The 16,447-nt window shown below is 48.8% G+C and overlaps 1 protein-coding gene and 1 pseudogene across 2 annotated transcripts in view, besides 1 other annotated feature; one reads left to right on the top strand and one right to left on the bottom strand.

The window, feature by feature from the left end:
* GNG7 (G protein subunit gamma 7) overlaps nucleotides 1-16,447 on the top strand; it is a 191,476-nt gene that overhangs the window by 162,893 nt on the left and 12,136 nt on the right. The window lies entirely within an intron of this gene.
* Nucleotides 493-2,067, bottom strand: ELOCP28 (elongin C pseudogene 28; annotated as a pseudogene).
* Nucleotides 10,150-10,209: an enhancer, noted in NCBI's record as "active region_13698". NCBI's record gives its function as "activates an Ori minimal core promoter by ATAC-STARR-seq in GM12878 lymphoblastoid cells {active_cell/tissue: GM12878}" and the evidence as "EXISTENCE:reporter gene assay evidence [ECO:0000049][PMID:35858748]".

Genomic DNA, 16,447 nt, shown 5'->3' with positions numbered 1-16,447 from the left:
TGCAGAACTTTAGGCCACTGGATGAGCAAGGCCTCTAGGTTGTTCTCCCTAAACCCTTTGGCCAATGAGACAGGGCAGCTGGGGGAGGGACGACACCCAGCCTCCAGCACAGAGGTCCATTCAGGGCTCCACTGGGACCGTGTCAGGTGTGTGTCCATCCCCCATTGGATATCGTATGTGTCTAAAATTGAGCTTATGGCCGGGCGCAGTGTCTCCCGCCTGTAATCCCAGCGCTTTGGGAGGCCGAGGCGGGCAGATCACCTGAGTTCAGGAGTTCGAGACCAGCCTGGCCAACATGGTGAAACCCCGTCTCTACTAAAAATACAAAAATTAGCCAGGCGTGGTGGCGGACACCTGTAATCCCAGCTGCTCGGGAGGCTGAGGCAGGAGAATCGCTTGAATCAGGAAGCAAAGGTTGCAGTGAGCCGAGATCACGCCTTTGTACTCCAGCCTGGGTGACAAGAGGGAAACACCATCCAAAAAAAAAAAAAAAGTTGGTATATATGTTTATTTCTCAGTTTGTGAAAATATCCTTAATTTATTGTCGTCACAAACAAATTTCAATTCTGATTACTATGCAAGGAAAAAACAGAAGATAATCTGCTTTGCAACGCAGTTTATAGTTCATTTGTTTACAGGAACATGCAATATATGAAAAATTACTAACTAAACTACAAGTATTAAATACCTAAATTAGTTAACAGTTTATTATAATTTATTTAACAATCTAGGGCTGGGTGCCGTGGCTCACGCCTGTAATCCCAGCACTTTGGGAGGCCGAGGTGGGCAGATCATGAGGTCAGGAGATCGAGACCATCCTGGCTAACACGGTGAAACCCTGTCTCTACTAAAAATACAAAAAAAAATTAGCCGGGCATGGTGGCGGGCGCCTGTAATCCCAGCTACTCGGGAGGTTGAGGCAGGAGAATGGCTTGAACCCAGGACGCAGAGTTTGCAGTGAGCTGAGATTGCGCCACTGCACTCCAGCCTGGGAGACAGAGTGAGACTCCGTCTCAAAAAAAAAGAAAAAAAAGAAAAATATATATATCTAGGAAGTCTGAAGCCATCAGCACTTCCAATGCAGTGAGGAATTCAGGAATCTCAGTGGAGCTGTTAGAGTAGTGAACCTTGTAAGTAAAATATATGCATGCCTTTCTATTGTGTTTTTTTAAAGACAGGGTCTTGCTCTGTTGCCCAGGCTGGAGTGCAGCGGTGCAATCATAGCTCACTTCAGCTTCCAACTCCTGGGCTCAAGCAGTCTTCCTGCCTCAGCCTCCCGGGTAGCTGGAACTACAGGTGTGCACCACCATGCCAGGCTAATTTTTTTTTTTTTTTTTTTTTGCAGAGACGGGGGTCTCACTATGTTGCCCAGGCTGGTCTCAAACTCCTGGCCTCAAATGATCCTCCAGCCTTGGCCTCCCAAAGTGGTAGGATCACAGGCATGAGTCACCACCACTGCTGATGGCCTGACGCATGCTTTGGATAGCATCGTGGAGGGATCTCTCTAAAATTGACCTGGTCGGTTTCATTCTCAGCAGACTGACCTGGGCCACTCAGCACGGCTTTCCTTATTCCTGATGCTCGTGTATGTTCTCTTTTTACAATAAAGTCATCATCGTCAGAAGATACCAGTTTACCATCCATGGCATCAGGGCCTCCGTAGCCACTGCAGCTTTTCTCCTCTCCATTCATTGTTGTTTTGTTTTGTTTTGTTTTGTTTTGTTTGAGAGAGAGTCTTGCTCTGTTGTCCAGGCTGGAGGGCAGTGGCGCAATCATAGCTCACTACAGCCTCCGCCTTCCAGGTTCAAGCAATTCTCCCACCTCAGCCTCCTGAGTAGCTGGGACTACAGGCATGCACCACCACATCCGGCTGATGTTTGTATTTTTTGGTAGAGATGGGGTTTCACCGTGTTGGCCAGGCTGGTCTGGAACTCCTGACCGCAAGTGATCTGCCTGCCTCGGCCTCCCAAAGTGCATTCATTATGTTCTTTTGAAATTCTGTGTCGCTTCCCTCAAGACCTTTCATAATTTCTTGTCAGCCCTGCAGTCACTGTAACCGGGTCCCAGCCTAACACCACAACCCCCACTCCAGGGCCAGTTTCCCGCCTCCAGCTTCACCACAACCCCCACTCCAGGGCCAGTTTCCCGCCTCCAGCTTCCTGTCCCATCAGAACCGTACACTTTGAGCATGCTCAGTGTATTATATGTTGATTACATTTATATATTATGACCCTATTCTATATTCTATATCAGATTTATTTTATTATAGCCAGGTGCCATGGCTCACGCTTGCAGCCCCAGTGATTTGGGAGGCTGAGGCAGGAGGATCGCTTGAGACCAGCCTGGGCAACATAGCTGTAGAGACTTCATCTCTACAAAAAATAAAAAACTAGCCAGGCCTAGTGGCATGCACCTGTAGTCCCAGCTACTCAGGAGGCCCAGGCAGGAGGATCGCTTGAGCCCGGGAGTTGGAGGCTGCAGTGAGCTATGATTGCACCACTGCACTCCAGCCTGGACAACAGAGTGAGAACCTGGCTCTAAAAATATGTATGTGGCCGGGCGCGGTGGCTCATGCTTGTAATCCCAGCACTTTGGGAGGCCGAGGCGGGCGGATCACGAGGTCAGGAGATGGAGACCATCCTGGCTAACACGGTGAAACCCCGTCTCTACTAAACAAAATACAAAAAATTAGCCGGGCGCGGTGGCGGGCACCTGTAGTCCCAGCTACTCGGGAGGCTGAGGCAGGAGAATGGCGTGAACCCGGGAGGCGGAGCTTGCAGTGAGCAGAGATCACACCACTGCACTCCAGCCTGGGCGACAGAGCGAGACTCCGTCTCAAAAAAAAAAAATAAAAATAAAAATAAAAATATGTATGTATATATATTTTATTATCTGTATAATAAAATATACACATACACAAATGGAGTCCGACCAGGAAGCACAGACTGTACCCCAAGGCCAAGAGAGCCCCTCCCGAGAACCCAGGGTGGCCCAGCCTCTGCACAGAACCCCTAGGGTGTCGTGGAGCACAGGGGAAACCGCTGTCTAGTTCTGAACTTTACAGCCGAGAAAGCTGAGGCTCAGGGAAGTCCAGGGGACGTGCTCAGAACCAGGTCTCCGGCCCAAGAAAGTCCTCCCTGTCGGGACCTCGCTGCAGGCCTCCTGTGCTCTGTCACATATACGACCCACACACGCTTCAGTGCGGCAGTGCTCTTGTCTGCAAGCCAGAAACACAGATCTTATATTTCTTGCTCCAAGACAAACAAAACATCGATTGTTTTAATCTTTCACTTTAGTTCTGATTAGGAAGAAAACATGTGGCTTCAGTTTCAAAAACAGCAAGCTGAGGCCCTTTTCTTTTCTTTTCTTTTCTTTTTTTTTTTGAGATGGAGTTTCGCTCCTGTTGCCCAGGCTGGAGTGCAATGGTGCAATCTCGGCTCACTGCAACCGCCGCCTCCCAGGTTCAAGCAATTCTCCTGCCTCAGCCTCCTGAGTAGCTGGGACTACAGGCGCCCGCCACCACACCCAGCTACTGTTTTTGTATTTTTAGTAGAGACGGGATTTCATCATGTTGGCCAGGCTGGTCTCAAACTCCTGACCTCGTGATCCGCCCACCTCGGCCTCCCAAAGTGCTGGGATTACGGGTGGGAGCCACCGCGCCCGGCCTTCTTTTCTTTTTGAGATATGTCTCACTCTGTTGCCCGGCTGAAGTACAGTGGTGTGGTCACAACTCACCGCAGCCTCCAACTCCTGGACTCAAGCGATCCTCCTGCCTCAGCCATCCAAGTAGCTGAGACTATAGGCACACACCACCACACCCAGTTAATTTTCTTATTTTTGTACAGGTGGGGTTTCACTCTGTTGCTCGGGCTGGTTTCAAACTCCTGGGCTCAAGTGACCCTCCCACCTTGGCCTCCCAAAGCACTGGAATTCCAAGCATGAGCCACCACACCTGGCCCAGGATTTCAACATATGAACTTGATGGGGTCAGAGGAGGACACAAATATTTAGTCTGCAACAAACAGCCCATATGACTTTCCGAGTGTACCGTGTTCTAGGAATTCCGAGTCAAGGTCACCTGGTGCTAGAAGCCATTAAAAAACATGTGTTCCAAAAAGAAATAACATTTGAAGCCCGCATCATAAAGAAGGAATATGTCACAGGGGAAAGAGATCTTCCAGGGTTAAGGTCGACATCTGCAAAGACAGGCATAGCCCCCGCTTCAGGCCCCAAGCAAATGTCTCTTGAACATTTATATACCAGGTTCTGGGGACAACAATTCAGATCTTTTTTTTTTTTTTTGAGACAAGGTCTTACTCTGTCACCCAGGCTGGAGTGCAGTGGCATGATCTCGGCTCACTGCAACCTCCACTTCCTGGGCTCAAGCGATTCTCCCACCTCAGCCTCCTGAGTAGCTGGGACTACAGGTGTGCACCACCACACCCAACTAGTTTTTTGTATTTTTTTTTTTTTTTTGTAGAGTCAAGGTTTTGCCATGTTGCCCAGGCTGGTCTCGAACTCTTGGGCTCAAGTGATCCTCCTGCCTCAGCCTCCCAAAGTGCTGGGACTACCAGCATGAGCCACTGCACCCAGCCCCCAGATCTTTGGCCTCATGAGGCTGACAGTCCAGTAGGCATACAACTCAAATATCAAATTATAAATACTACAAGAAAAGAAACAGAGGGCCATGAGAGAATGATGTGGTGGGCTGAATGACTGGCTCCAAGATTGTTGTAACTGTTAATTTTATGTGTTAACTTGACTGGTCCATGGGGTGCACAGATATCTGTTTAAATGTTATTCTGTGTGTCTGTGAGAATGTTTCTGGATGAAATGAACCATAGGCTGTGTAAAGCATATTCCTCCCCCTCCCCAATGTGGGGGCCTCATCTAATCAGTTAAAGCCCTCAATAGAACAAAAATGCTAAGTAAGAGATAATTCCTCCTGCCTGGCAGCCTTCAAGCTGACAGATAGGTTTTTCCAGCCTTTGGACTCCAGTGGAAACATCTGCTCTTGGGTCTCAAGCCTGCTGGCTTTCAGACAGAAACTATCAGTTCTCGTGTCTCTCTAGCTTGCCAATTGTACATCTTATGGCTTCTCAGCCTCCATAATTATGTGAGCCAATTTCTTATAATAAATATCTTCTGGGCAAGCCATCTACCTTCTCTGGGTCTTAGTTTCCCAGGGACAGCCATCTCCCTCATGGCCCCCTCCAGGATTTCCGAATCTGGAAAATGCTGAGCTCATGAGGCCACAGGGTGAGAAAGGAGATGATCCTGGAGCCATGCATCAGAGAAGGCAGTTCTTTGATGGGATTGGAGCTGGGGGAAGAATTCCTAGCAGTGGGAATTGAACAATAAGCCTTGATTTTTGCACTTGATTTTGTAAGGAATTGGAAGCTGCTGGTGGTTTCTGAGTAGGGGAGGAACAGATTCAACTGCATTTTCAGAAGCGCACTCTAGCTGTTAGGAGATGGAGGGAGTGGGGAGTGGAGCGGAGGCCACTGGTGGAGTACACGGGGATCTGCCTGAGGCTGCAGAGCACTGCTGAAGTGGACATCCAAGGAGGGGCTGGCTGGACTGAAGAAAAGTCTCTGGGGACAGCTGGCATTGAGTCTTATCACACTGACATTGGACCAGTCACAGCGGATGAGGATGTATATATATTTTTTCAGATGCTGACTTCATTTTGTGTGTGTGTAGAATTGCAAAATTCAATTAATGTCACTAGTAAACTCCTGAAATAATATTTATAACTCCTATCACTGGAATCCCGTGACCAAAATTATATAATAAAAATCGTATAATAAAAATGTGAAGGCAGAAGCATAGAACATCTTCTGTTGTGGGTTGGTTGGAGGTGAGGACTGAGCTGAAGGCTGATATGATTCATGTGTGTTTGTTCTAAGGCTTTTGCAGAGTTTTTCACTTCCTGTTGATCTTTCCACTGGAATTTTAGAATTATCTTATCAAGCTCTTTCCTCTCTACAACATTTTTGTTGTTTTTCACTTCTTCCTGCATTTTCTACCTTTCATCTGGAATTATCTTTCTCTAGTTTTACCTTTTAAAAGGCAAGTCTGTTGGTGAGAAAGTCTGGTTTTGTTTATCTGAAAATGCCCTTATTTCCCCCTAATTCTTGAAGGATATTTTCACTGGGTCCACCTAATTGCTGCTGTTTTTTCCTCTGGCAACTTTTGTTTGTTGATTTTTGTTTGTAATTAACTGATTTTATCAAAGTCCAATTCAAATGCAGTAAGATGAACAGATCTTAAAGATACAGTTTGATGGATTTTAGCAAATGTGTACACCTGTGTACACCAACAGCTCAACCAACATAGAGAACATCGCCATCACCCTAGAAGTTATTTCATGGCCCTTTCTAGCCAACACCCTGGCCAGAGGCAGCAACCTCTGTTTTCATTTCTATCACCATAGTTTTGCCTATTCTTGAACTTTATATAAATGGAATTATATAATATGCACCTCTAATATCCAGCTTCTGTTGCTTTACTTTTTTTATTTTTGAGAGGCATTTATTTTTTAAATATTTAATATTAATATTTAATATATTAATATTAATTAAATACTAATATTTAATATTGAATAATGTATTATCTTTTATTTTTTTAGAATACATTTATATTTTTGAGAATCATACACGTTGCTTGATCTCTCAATAGTTTATTCTTTTTTTGTGTGCAGCCGTATTTCATTGTGTGAAATGCCATGGCTTGTTTATTCTCTCGTTGACAGGCATTTGGGTTGTTTCCAGGTTTTGCTGTTATGAGTAAAAGCTTATGAACATCTCGTACAAGTCCTTTTATGGAGACATGTTTTTATTTATCTTGAATAAATCCCTAGGAGTGGAATTGCTGGGTCATAGGTGAGGTATGTGTTCAGCCTTATAAGAAACTGCTAAGCCATTTTCCATGGTGGTTGTACTATTTCACATTCCTGTCAGTAATGGATGATGCCTCCAGTTCTTCTACATCCTCCCAAATATTTAGTGTTGTCAGTCTTTTAAATTTTTGCCACTCTAGTGGTTGAGAGGCAGTCTCTCTTGATGACTTTAATTCATATTTCCTTCATGACTAATCATTAGACACCATTTCATGTGCTTATTGGCCATTTCTCTGCCACTTTTTAGGACATTTCTTTTGCCTGAGGTTCTAGGGATTCTGAAATCTGTGGCTTGAGGTCTTTTTATCAGTTTTAGAAAGTTATTGGTCATTATCTCTTCAAAGATTGTTCCTGCTTCATTCTCTCTCTCCTCCTTCTGGTGTTCCAATAACACGTATATTAGACGTCACTGCATCTTCTATGTCTTTTGCTCTTTCTTCTGTAGTTTCTTTCCCTTTGTGTCGTCTTGCTTCATTCTGGATATTTTTCTCTGTTCTGTCTTCCAGTTCACTAATTTTTATTTCTTCCATTGAATTCTTACTTTTCAGATATTGTCATTTTCTCCATATCCACTGGTTCCTTTTTTTCCCCATTGTTCCAATTTGCAGCGAAAATTCCAATCTCATCTTTTTATCTCTTTGAACGTAATTAACACAATTAATTTAAAGTCTCTGTCAATTCCCAGTATATGGAAACCCTGTGGGTCTCTTTGTAGTGCTGGTTTTTGTTTTTTTTTTTGTTTTTTTTTTTGAGACGGAGTCTCGTTCTTTTGCCCAGGCTGCAGTGCAGTGGCGTGATCTCAGCTCACTGCAAGCTCCGCCTCCCGGGTTCATGCCATTCTCCTGCTTCAGCCTCCCAAGTAGCTGGGACTAGAGGCGCCTGCCATGGCGCCCGGCTAATTTTTTGTGTTTTTAGTAGAGACGGGGTTTCACCGTGTCAGCCAGGATGGTCTTGATCTCCTGACCTCATGATCCGCCTGCCTAGGCCTCCCAAAGTGCTGGGATTACAGGCGTGAGCCACCGCACCTGGCAGTGCTGGTTATTTCTGCTGATTTTTGTTTATGTGGTCCTGGCTCCTCGTATGTCTTACTTGCATGCCAGATATTGTATTGTGCATTTTTTTTTTTTTTTGGGACGGAGTCTCGCTCTGTTACCCAGGCTGGAGTGCAGTGGCACGATCTCGGTTCACTGCAAGCTCCACCTCCCGGGTTCATGCCACTCTCCTGCCTCAGCCTCCGGAGTAGCTGGGACTACAGGTGCCTGCCACCAAGCCTGGCTAATTTTTTGTATTTTTAGTAGAGACGGGGTTTCACCATGTTAGCCAGGATGGTCTTGATCTCCTGACCTCGTGAGCCACCGCGCCCGGCCTGTATTGCGGATTTGCATGTAGAAATAATCTGAGGCCTGGGATCGTATTATTTTCCTCCAGAGGGGATTTATGTTTACTTCTTCCAGGCATTTGGGGCCACCAGCAATCTCGCATCACCTTAATCCAATATTAGGGATTGAGATTATTCAAAACTCTGCTGTAGTTGCTAGAAGGACCTGTCTGCTTCCTCTTGATCTTTACTCCTTTTTTTTTTTTTTTTTTTTTTTTTGAGACGGAATCTCACTCAGCTGCCAAAGCTGGAATACAGTGGCACGATCTCGGTTCACTGCAACCACCGTCTCCCGGATTCAAGGGATTCTCTCATCTCAGCTCCTGACTAGCTGGGATTACAAGAACCCGCCATCATGCCCAGCTAATTTTTGTATTTTAGTAGAGACGGGGTTTCACCATGTTGACCAGGCTAGTCTTGAACTCCCGACCTCAGGTCATCCACCTGCCTCGGTCTCCCAAAGTGCTGGGATTCCAGGCGTGAGCCACTGTGCCCAGCTGTGACCGTTACTCTTACAGTGCAATATTAAGTTGTCCCAATTCACACCAAGGGGGAATTTACCAAGCCTTCTCTCCTCAGGAAACCCTGGACCTCAATTTCTGTACCCTTGGCCTCGTGAAGCTGATAGAAATATCACTCGGCCTCTCAGCAAACCCTCCCAACCCCAGGAAAAAGTGACCCCAAACCCAGGCTCTCTTTCGATCCTCCCCTAAATCCTGGCTGGAAATTCTCCATTATCTTAATAACCCTGCAGGCCCTTGAGCAGATGCTTTGACATTCTGTCCAGCTTTTCTTTCTTTTTTGAGACAGGGTCTCACTCTGTCACCCAGGCTGGAGTGCAGTGGCACAACGTCAGCTCACTGCAACCTCTGCCTCCCGGGTTTAAGTGATTGTTGTACCTCAGCCTCCTGAGTAGCTGGGACTACAGGCACCCGCCACCACGTCCAGCTAATTTTTGTATTTTAATAGAGACGGGGTTTCACCATGTTGGCCAGGCTGGTCTCAAACTCCCGACTTCAAGTGATCCTCCCACCTCAGCCTCCCAAAGTGCTGGGATTACAGGCTTGAGCCACCGCACCCAGCCCTGTCCAGCTTTTTTTTCTTTTTTTTGAGACAGGGTCTCTCTCTGTCGCCCAGGCTGGAGTGCAGTGGCACAATCTCAGCTCACTGCAACCACTGCCTCCCGGGTTTAAGTGATTCTTGTGCCTCAGCCTCCCAAGTAGCTGGGACTACAGGCACGTGCCACCATGCCCAGCTAATTTTTGTATTTTTAGCAGAGATGGGGTTTCACCATGTTGGCCAGGCTGGTCTCAAACTCCCGACCTCAAGTGATCCTCCCGCCTCGACCTCCCACAGTGCTGGGATCACAGGCGTGAGCCGCCGCACCCGGCCCTGTCCAGCTTTTCTAGTGGACCTCAGCAAGAGAGTGGGTTTGTCCTTAGCTGCTAATCCACCATTGTGCAAGCCAAAATCTGCCAAGAGAGATTTTTAACCCAAAGTCCAAGTCGTTTAGAAGGAGGTCATGGATATTCTAGATCCTCTTGATCTTGGAGCCACAGGATGACAAATGGGGACCCATCCTCAGCCTTGAGAGGAGCCCTCTCATCTTCCAGCTGAGGAAGCCAAGACCCAAAAACCAGGAGCAGAGCCAGAGTGCGAGCCCGGATTTTCCATTTCCAGGCAGGCACCGTGTGGTCCCTCTTCAGGAGCAGGTGTCAGCCCTTATCCCTTGAACAAGATCCCTGGCAATGACCTCACCTCTCCCTGAAACCTGAATGTTCTGTCAGTTCAGCAAGAGGCTGATGCAACTCACAGTCCCCAGAGGCCCTTTTGTCTCTCATCGAGTCCATAAATGACACGGAAATGATCTAAGCATGACTGGTCACCCTGGACTTCTGGAACTCATCACGGAGCTTACAAGACTCTCCTCTCACCTTTACCCTATGGCTCAGAAGAAGAAGGGATTTGCCCAAGCTCATGCTTTAAGTTCAACAACACAAAAATGGGCCGGGCGTGGTGGCTCACGCCTGTCATCCCAGCACTTTGGGAGGCCCAGGCAGGTGGATCACCTGAGGTCAGGAGTTCGAGACCAGCCTGGCCAACATGGCAAAACCCTGTCTCCACTAAAAATACAAAAATTAGCCGGGCGTGGTGGCGCATGCTTGTAATCCCAGCTACTCCGGGAGGCTGAGGCAAGAGAATCGCTTGAACCTGGGAGGCGGAGGTTGCAGTGAGCCGAGTTGGTGCCACTGCACTCCAGCCTGGGCGACAGAGTGAGCCATCATCTCCAAAAAACAAACAAACAAACAAAAAAACCCACCAACACAAAAATGGGTAATTTCAGGACACCCAGTTTGTGGCTCTATCCCGAATCCGATCCATGCTGATTTTTAATCTGATCAGCTTCCAGCTCTGCCCAGGTCTCTCCAGGGCCGGCGGTGGGGGGCTGTTGCAATTCCCTGCTGCACCCCAGCCTCAGGGCAGGTCAGGGGAGTGGCGACAGGGTGCAAGTCCACGGGGAGTGAGATTTCTCAAGAGCTCCGGGCAAACCGGCCCTTCCACATTCGCTGGGTGCAGGATGTTCCAGCCACCTTGTCTTTCCAGCAGCTGTGTTTATATTTGGCAGTTGCCACAGGTCCCTGGAAGAGGGTCCTCTTCCTGCCTGCCAGACTCTGGAACCCCTGTTTCCTCACACAGGAACCTGGGGGCCAGGCCTGGTGCAGAGATGAGAGTGTCCCTCTGAGAATTCCAACAGAGGTCACTGGGGCTCAGAGAGGGAAGGAAACTTTCCCAAGGCCACACAGCTTGGTAGAGCAAGGGCAGATTTCTGGCCTACCACCTTCCCGAGTTCCCTCCTCTGTGGGAGCTGTGGTCTCACTCCCTTCAAATGCAACGGGGCTCACATCTGGGGGAAGACTCCCGCCCTGTGGGGCCTCTCCTAGTCACAAAGCATTCTGGGATGCTAATAAAATTAAAGCCCTTTTGGAAACACCCCTGTATTTACTTTTTTTTTTTTTTTTGAGACCATTCTCCTGCCTCAGCCTCCTGAGTAGCTGGGACTACAGGTGCCCGCCGCCATGCCCGGCTAATTTTTTTGTATTTTTTTTTTTTTTTAGTAGAGACAGGGTTTCACCGTGTTAGCCAGGATGGTCTGTATCTCCTGGCCTCGTGATCTGCCCGCCTCGGCCTCCCAAAGTGCTGGGATTACAGGCGTGAGCCACTGAGCCAGGCCTTTTTTTTTTTTTTTTTTTTTAGACAGGGTCTCACTCTGTCACCCAGGCCGGAGTGCAGTGGCGCGATCTTGGCTCACTGCAACCTCCACCTCCTGGGTTCAAGCGATTCTTGTGCCTCAGCCTCCTGAGTAGCTAGAATTACAGGCACGCACTACCATGCCTGGCTCATTTTTTTGTATTTTTAGCAGACGTGGGGGTTTCACCATGTTGGCCAGGCTGGTCTTGAACTCCTGACCTCAAATGACCCACCCGCCTCAACCTCCCAAAGTTCTGGGATTACAGGCATGAGCCACCACGCCTAGCATATTTTCATTCAGTACCATTTATTTTTGGGGCCTTCAGTCAGCTGGGTTCAAACTCTTTGCGTTTTGCCTAAGGGAACCACTCTGAGCTGCAGGATTTCTCCTGATAAGGGAGTTCCATAAAGGCCTAAAATTTTCCCCCAGGGGACACCTGTCCAAGTCTGGGGACATTTGTGCTGGTCATGACTGTGGGCGCACTGGTGGGGGGGGGGGTTTCCTGGCAAGGAGTGGGTGGAGACCAGGGATGCTGCCCAGCACCCTGCAGTGCCCAGGACAGCCCCACCCCAGAAAAGGATCCAGCCAGAGGGAGAGGGCCTGTACTGGAGTGAGTTAAACTTCCCGGTGTAGATCAGGTCTCTTTAGGATTTTAGGAACTTCGGAGTTCAGCCCATTTTGCAGACTGGGGCCCTAGGCTGTGTCTCTCTTTACTGACACCACTGTCAATTTTGTCGCAGTTTTGGGTCTTTGTCTGCTCAGCCATCTGCTCAGCAAACGTTTAGGCCACACCTCCTCACCTCCTCTCCTCCTCCCAGTGGGGACAGGTTCGAGGGCGGGGGCACAGCTCCAGAGGGGCGATGCCTCCAGGCAGGAACCCAGGCCCCCTTCCTGGAGGGATGCGCGACACCAAAACTCCCTCTGCACCCCCAGATGAGGGCCGGTGGGAGTGGTGCCGTCTGAGTGAGACACAGCATTGGGCTGACCTCAGGGTCCCGGTTCTGATAGTGTCTCATAGTCACAGGTGACGTCGCCCTGGAGGGGACCGGGAGAGGGTGCGTGGGGCTCCCTGGACTATGTTTGCAACTGCCTGAGTCCATAATTGTTTCAAAATAAAAAGTTAAGATAGGGCCGGGAGCAGTGGCTCACGCCTGTAATCCCAGCACTTTGGGAGGCTGAGGCGGGTGGATCACTAGGTCAGGAGTTTGAGACCAGCCTGACCAACATGGTGAAACCCCGTCTCTACTAAAAATACAAAAATTAGCCCGGTGTGGTGGCGCGCGCCTGTAGTCCCAGCTACTCGGGAGGCTGAGGCAGGAGAATGGCATGAACTCAGGAGGTGGAGGTTGCAGTGAGCCGAGATTGTGCCACTGCACTCCAGCCTGGGCGACAGAGCGAGACTCCCTCTCAAAAAAAAAAAGTTAAGATAAACAATATTCAATAAACCTATAACAGATTCTATAACTATATAATACATATATACAGATATAAAATAGTAATCTAAATATATTATAAATACAAATATAAAATCAATAGCAAACAATGTAAATGTCAAAATAGAAATCAAACTATATAATTAATAATGTATAAATTATGTAAATGATGAATAAATATAAAATATGTATGCAATAAGTGTATAATACATACTAAATACTAAAACTATATATTAGTAATACAAAACTGATATGAATATATAGTGAATGAATCTTCAAATATGTAATAAATGCATGATAAATGACATAAATATAAATATGAGTATAAATATAAATATATGAGTAAACAAATATATAATAAAATATATAAATATGTAATAAATGTATAATACTATAGTATAATATAGTATAAGTTTATATTATAAACTAATAGTAGACCAGGCGCGGTGGCTCACGCCTGTAATCCCAGCACTTTGGGAGGTCGAGGCGGGTGGATCACCTGAGGTCAGGCGTTTGAGACCAGCCTGGCCAACATGGGGAAACCCCGTCTCTATTAAAAATACAAAAATTGGCCAGGCGCAGTGGCTCACGCCTTTAATCCCAGCACTCTGGGAGGCCGAGGCAGGCGGATCACAAGATCAGGAGATCGAGACCATCCTGGCTAACACGGTGAAACCCCGTATCTACTAAAAATATAAAAAATTAGCCAGGCGTGGTGGCGGGCGCCTGTAGTCTCAGCTACTTGGGAAGCTGAAGCAGGAGAATGGCGTGAACCCTGGAGGAGGAGGTTGCAGTGAGCCAAGATCGCGCCACTGCACTCCAGCCTCGGAGACAGAGCCAGACTCTGTCTCAAAAAAAAAAAAAAAAATTGGCGTGGAGGCAGGCACCTGTAATCCCAGCCACTCGGGAGGCTGAGGCAAGAGAATCGCTTGAACCCGGAAGGCGGAGGTTGCAGTGAGCTGAGATCGCGCCACCGCACTTCAGCCTGGGCGACAGAGCGAGACTCCGACTCAAAAAAAAAAGAGGCAGAGCACTTGCTTTCATTCTAACTTTTCACTCTTACACATAACGCAATTATAAACGCCTTTCTATATGTAGATTTTTATTTCTTTTCATTTTTTGCCCTCGGGATAACTGCCGGAGCAAGGGGTTAGAGGGCGGCTGCTCCCTGGGGGTCCCTGTGGTCCCACCTCCCTCCCTGCCGGTGCTGCCAGCTCCTGTCCTGCGGTTTTGTTCAGCCCTTCTGTGCACTGGAGCCTCGTGTCTGATCAGCTCAGGTCTGCTCTGTTTCGGGGCTGGTCACCCTTCCCTGAGCGACCACAGATTTCCACTATGTCCTGGAGTGGGGGGGTACCCTCATCCTTCTTGACTTTCAGGCGCGAGTGGGATTTTTCTGCACGAGGCGGGCTTAGACTCGGGTGTGGCTATGAGCCTTTTGCTAGGAGGCCAGCGCGGGGCCGGGCGGCGTCCCTCTTCAGTTTTATTTTTGGAGAGCCTGGCCTGGAGCCTTGCCTGCCTGCAGGAGCCTGTGCACCGAGGCAGAGCCCGACCGTCAGGAGGGAGCCGTGGGGACTGTGTGCACCTTTGACCACCTGGCCCTGCCCCCGGAGCTGCCTGCTCCCGCCCCTCCCACAGCTTCCCCGGGCCACGGGCCCCGAGGCAAGCTCATTCAGGTCGGGGTGCCCGGCACCCGTGCGCCTCTGCAGGGAGGCAGTTGGGAGGGGCGTTCCTGGCTGACTCAGTGCGTGGCCAGTTCTGCTGCTGTTGGCTTAGTCCTCTGCTGGGGGCATGGCTGCTCCTGAGTCAGTGCCGGCTGGTGACACCACCGAGACGGGGACTTAGGGAGGCGACTGCATGGGTGATGCAATCTGTGTCTGAGTCTCGGCATCTCAGCCCAAGCATCCACATGCACTCCCGTGCGCACACACACGCACACGCATGTACACATGCAGACACATGTACACACCCACGCACGCACATATCCACGCACCTACAGTGACGTACACACACGCCAACACGCATGCACACACCCATAGTGACATGCATGCCCACACACGTGTGCGCACACGCACATGCAGTGCCGTGTCCACACACGTGCACATACACACGTGCACACTGGCATGCATGTCCACACACATGCACGTATGCAAATGCACCTATGCACACACTCATATGCAGACGCACACACGTAGATGTGTACATGCACTCATATAGACACATGCACATGTACACACATGCAAGGATGCACACTCATATGCATGCTGACGTGCACACCCATGCATATGCAGGTACACATACACATGCAGATATGTGTGCACACACGCATATATGCACACTCATGAATGCCAGTATACACATACACACATACATGCACACGCAAGGTACACATACATGCACATGTGCACACACATACACATGTGCACACTGACATGCACACCACGTGTACACACGTGTACAGTCACATGTGCATCATTGACATACATGCAAATAAACATAGACACACACACACAGCGCAGTCCTCTCTGGCCTTCCTGGCAGGCCTGGGTTATTACCCAGCCCAAAGGCAGCATCTCGCAGGGAATTTCGCCCAAAACAGAAAAGCCAGCACGGCTCAGGACCTGATGCTCACATGGAAATTGCGGGCGGTGGCTGCCCAGGGCAGCAGGGGCCCAGGGTCTGGGTGGACACTCCTGACTGTGGATGCTAAATAGGACCCCCTGGCCTTCCAAGGAAAACAGGAGGTGCGGCCAGCCCGTTTGTTCTCTGCGTGCACGTATTTTTAGCACTGAGTAATTTAGGTATTTTTAAGCCCAACCAAGGGCGGTTTTCCCTGAGTTGGATGTTTTGTGGCTGCTTTGAAGCTCTCTGGAATCAGAGCCCTCTGAGCGGCCACACGTGGGCTCTGCCTCCAGAGCAGACAGATTGGGCCTTCTCTGCCCCCAAAAAGTGGGGGTGGGACGTCTGCTGGAAACCAAGGAGGCTGGGCGGTGTCAAAGGGATTTTTTGTTTAATTGCCCCTTTTATTGAGATCGCCGTGGAGTCACAGCCAGTGCTAACAAAGAATGTAGAGGAATTCTGTGTGTCATTCCCCGGCCGTCCCTGGTGGTAACATTTGGTAAAGCTATGGGCAGGATCGCAGCCAGACAGTCACACACCCACCAGCCTCACTCAGGTTCCACAGTATTCAGTATTGTGCCCGCTGGTGTGTGAGTGTGTGAGGCTCTCTGTGAGTTTATCACTCATGTAGGCTTGTGGATTCATCACCGTAGTTGAGGCACTAACAGGGATCATTCGTGTTGCCCTTTTATTATTTATTCAGAGATGGGGTCTCACTAAATTGCCCAGTCTGGCCTCAACCTCCCAGGCTCAAGTGATCCTCCCACCTCAGCCTCCCAAGTAGCTGGGACCACAGGAGTGCGCTACCCATGCCCAGCTAATTTTCTAATTTTTTGTAGAGAGGGGGTCTTGCTATGTTGCCTAGGCTG

This window comes from Homo sapiens, chromosome 19 (genome assembly GCF_000001405.40).
Source record: "Homo sapiens chromosome 19, GRCh38.p14 Primary Assembly".
Classification (NCBI taxonomy): Eukaryota; Metazoa; Chordata; class Mammalia; order Primates; family Hominidae; genus Homo; species Homo sapiens.
Note: the sequence above shows the minus strand (reverse complement) of the source record. Positions and strands in the feature narration are given on the sequence as shown.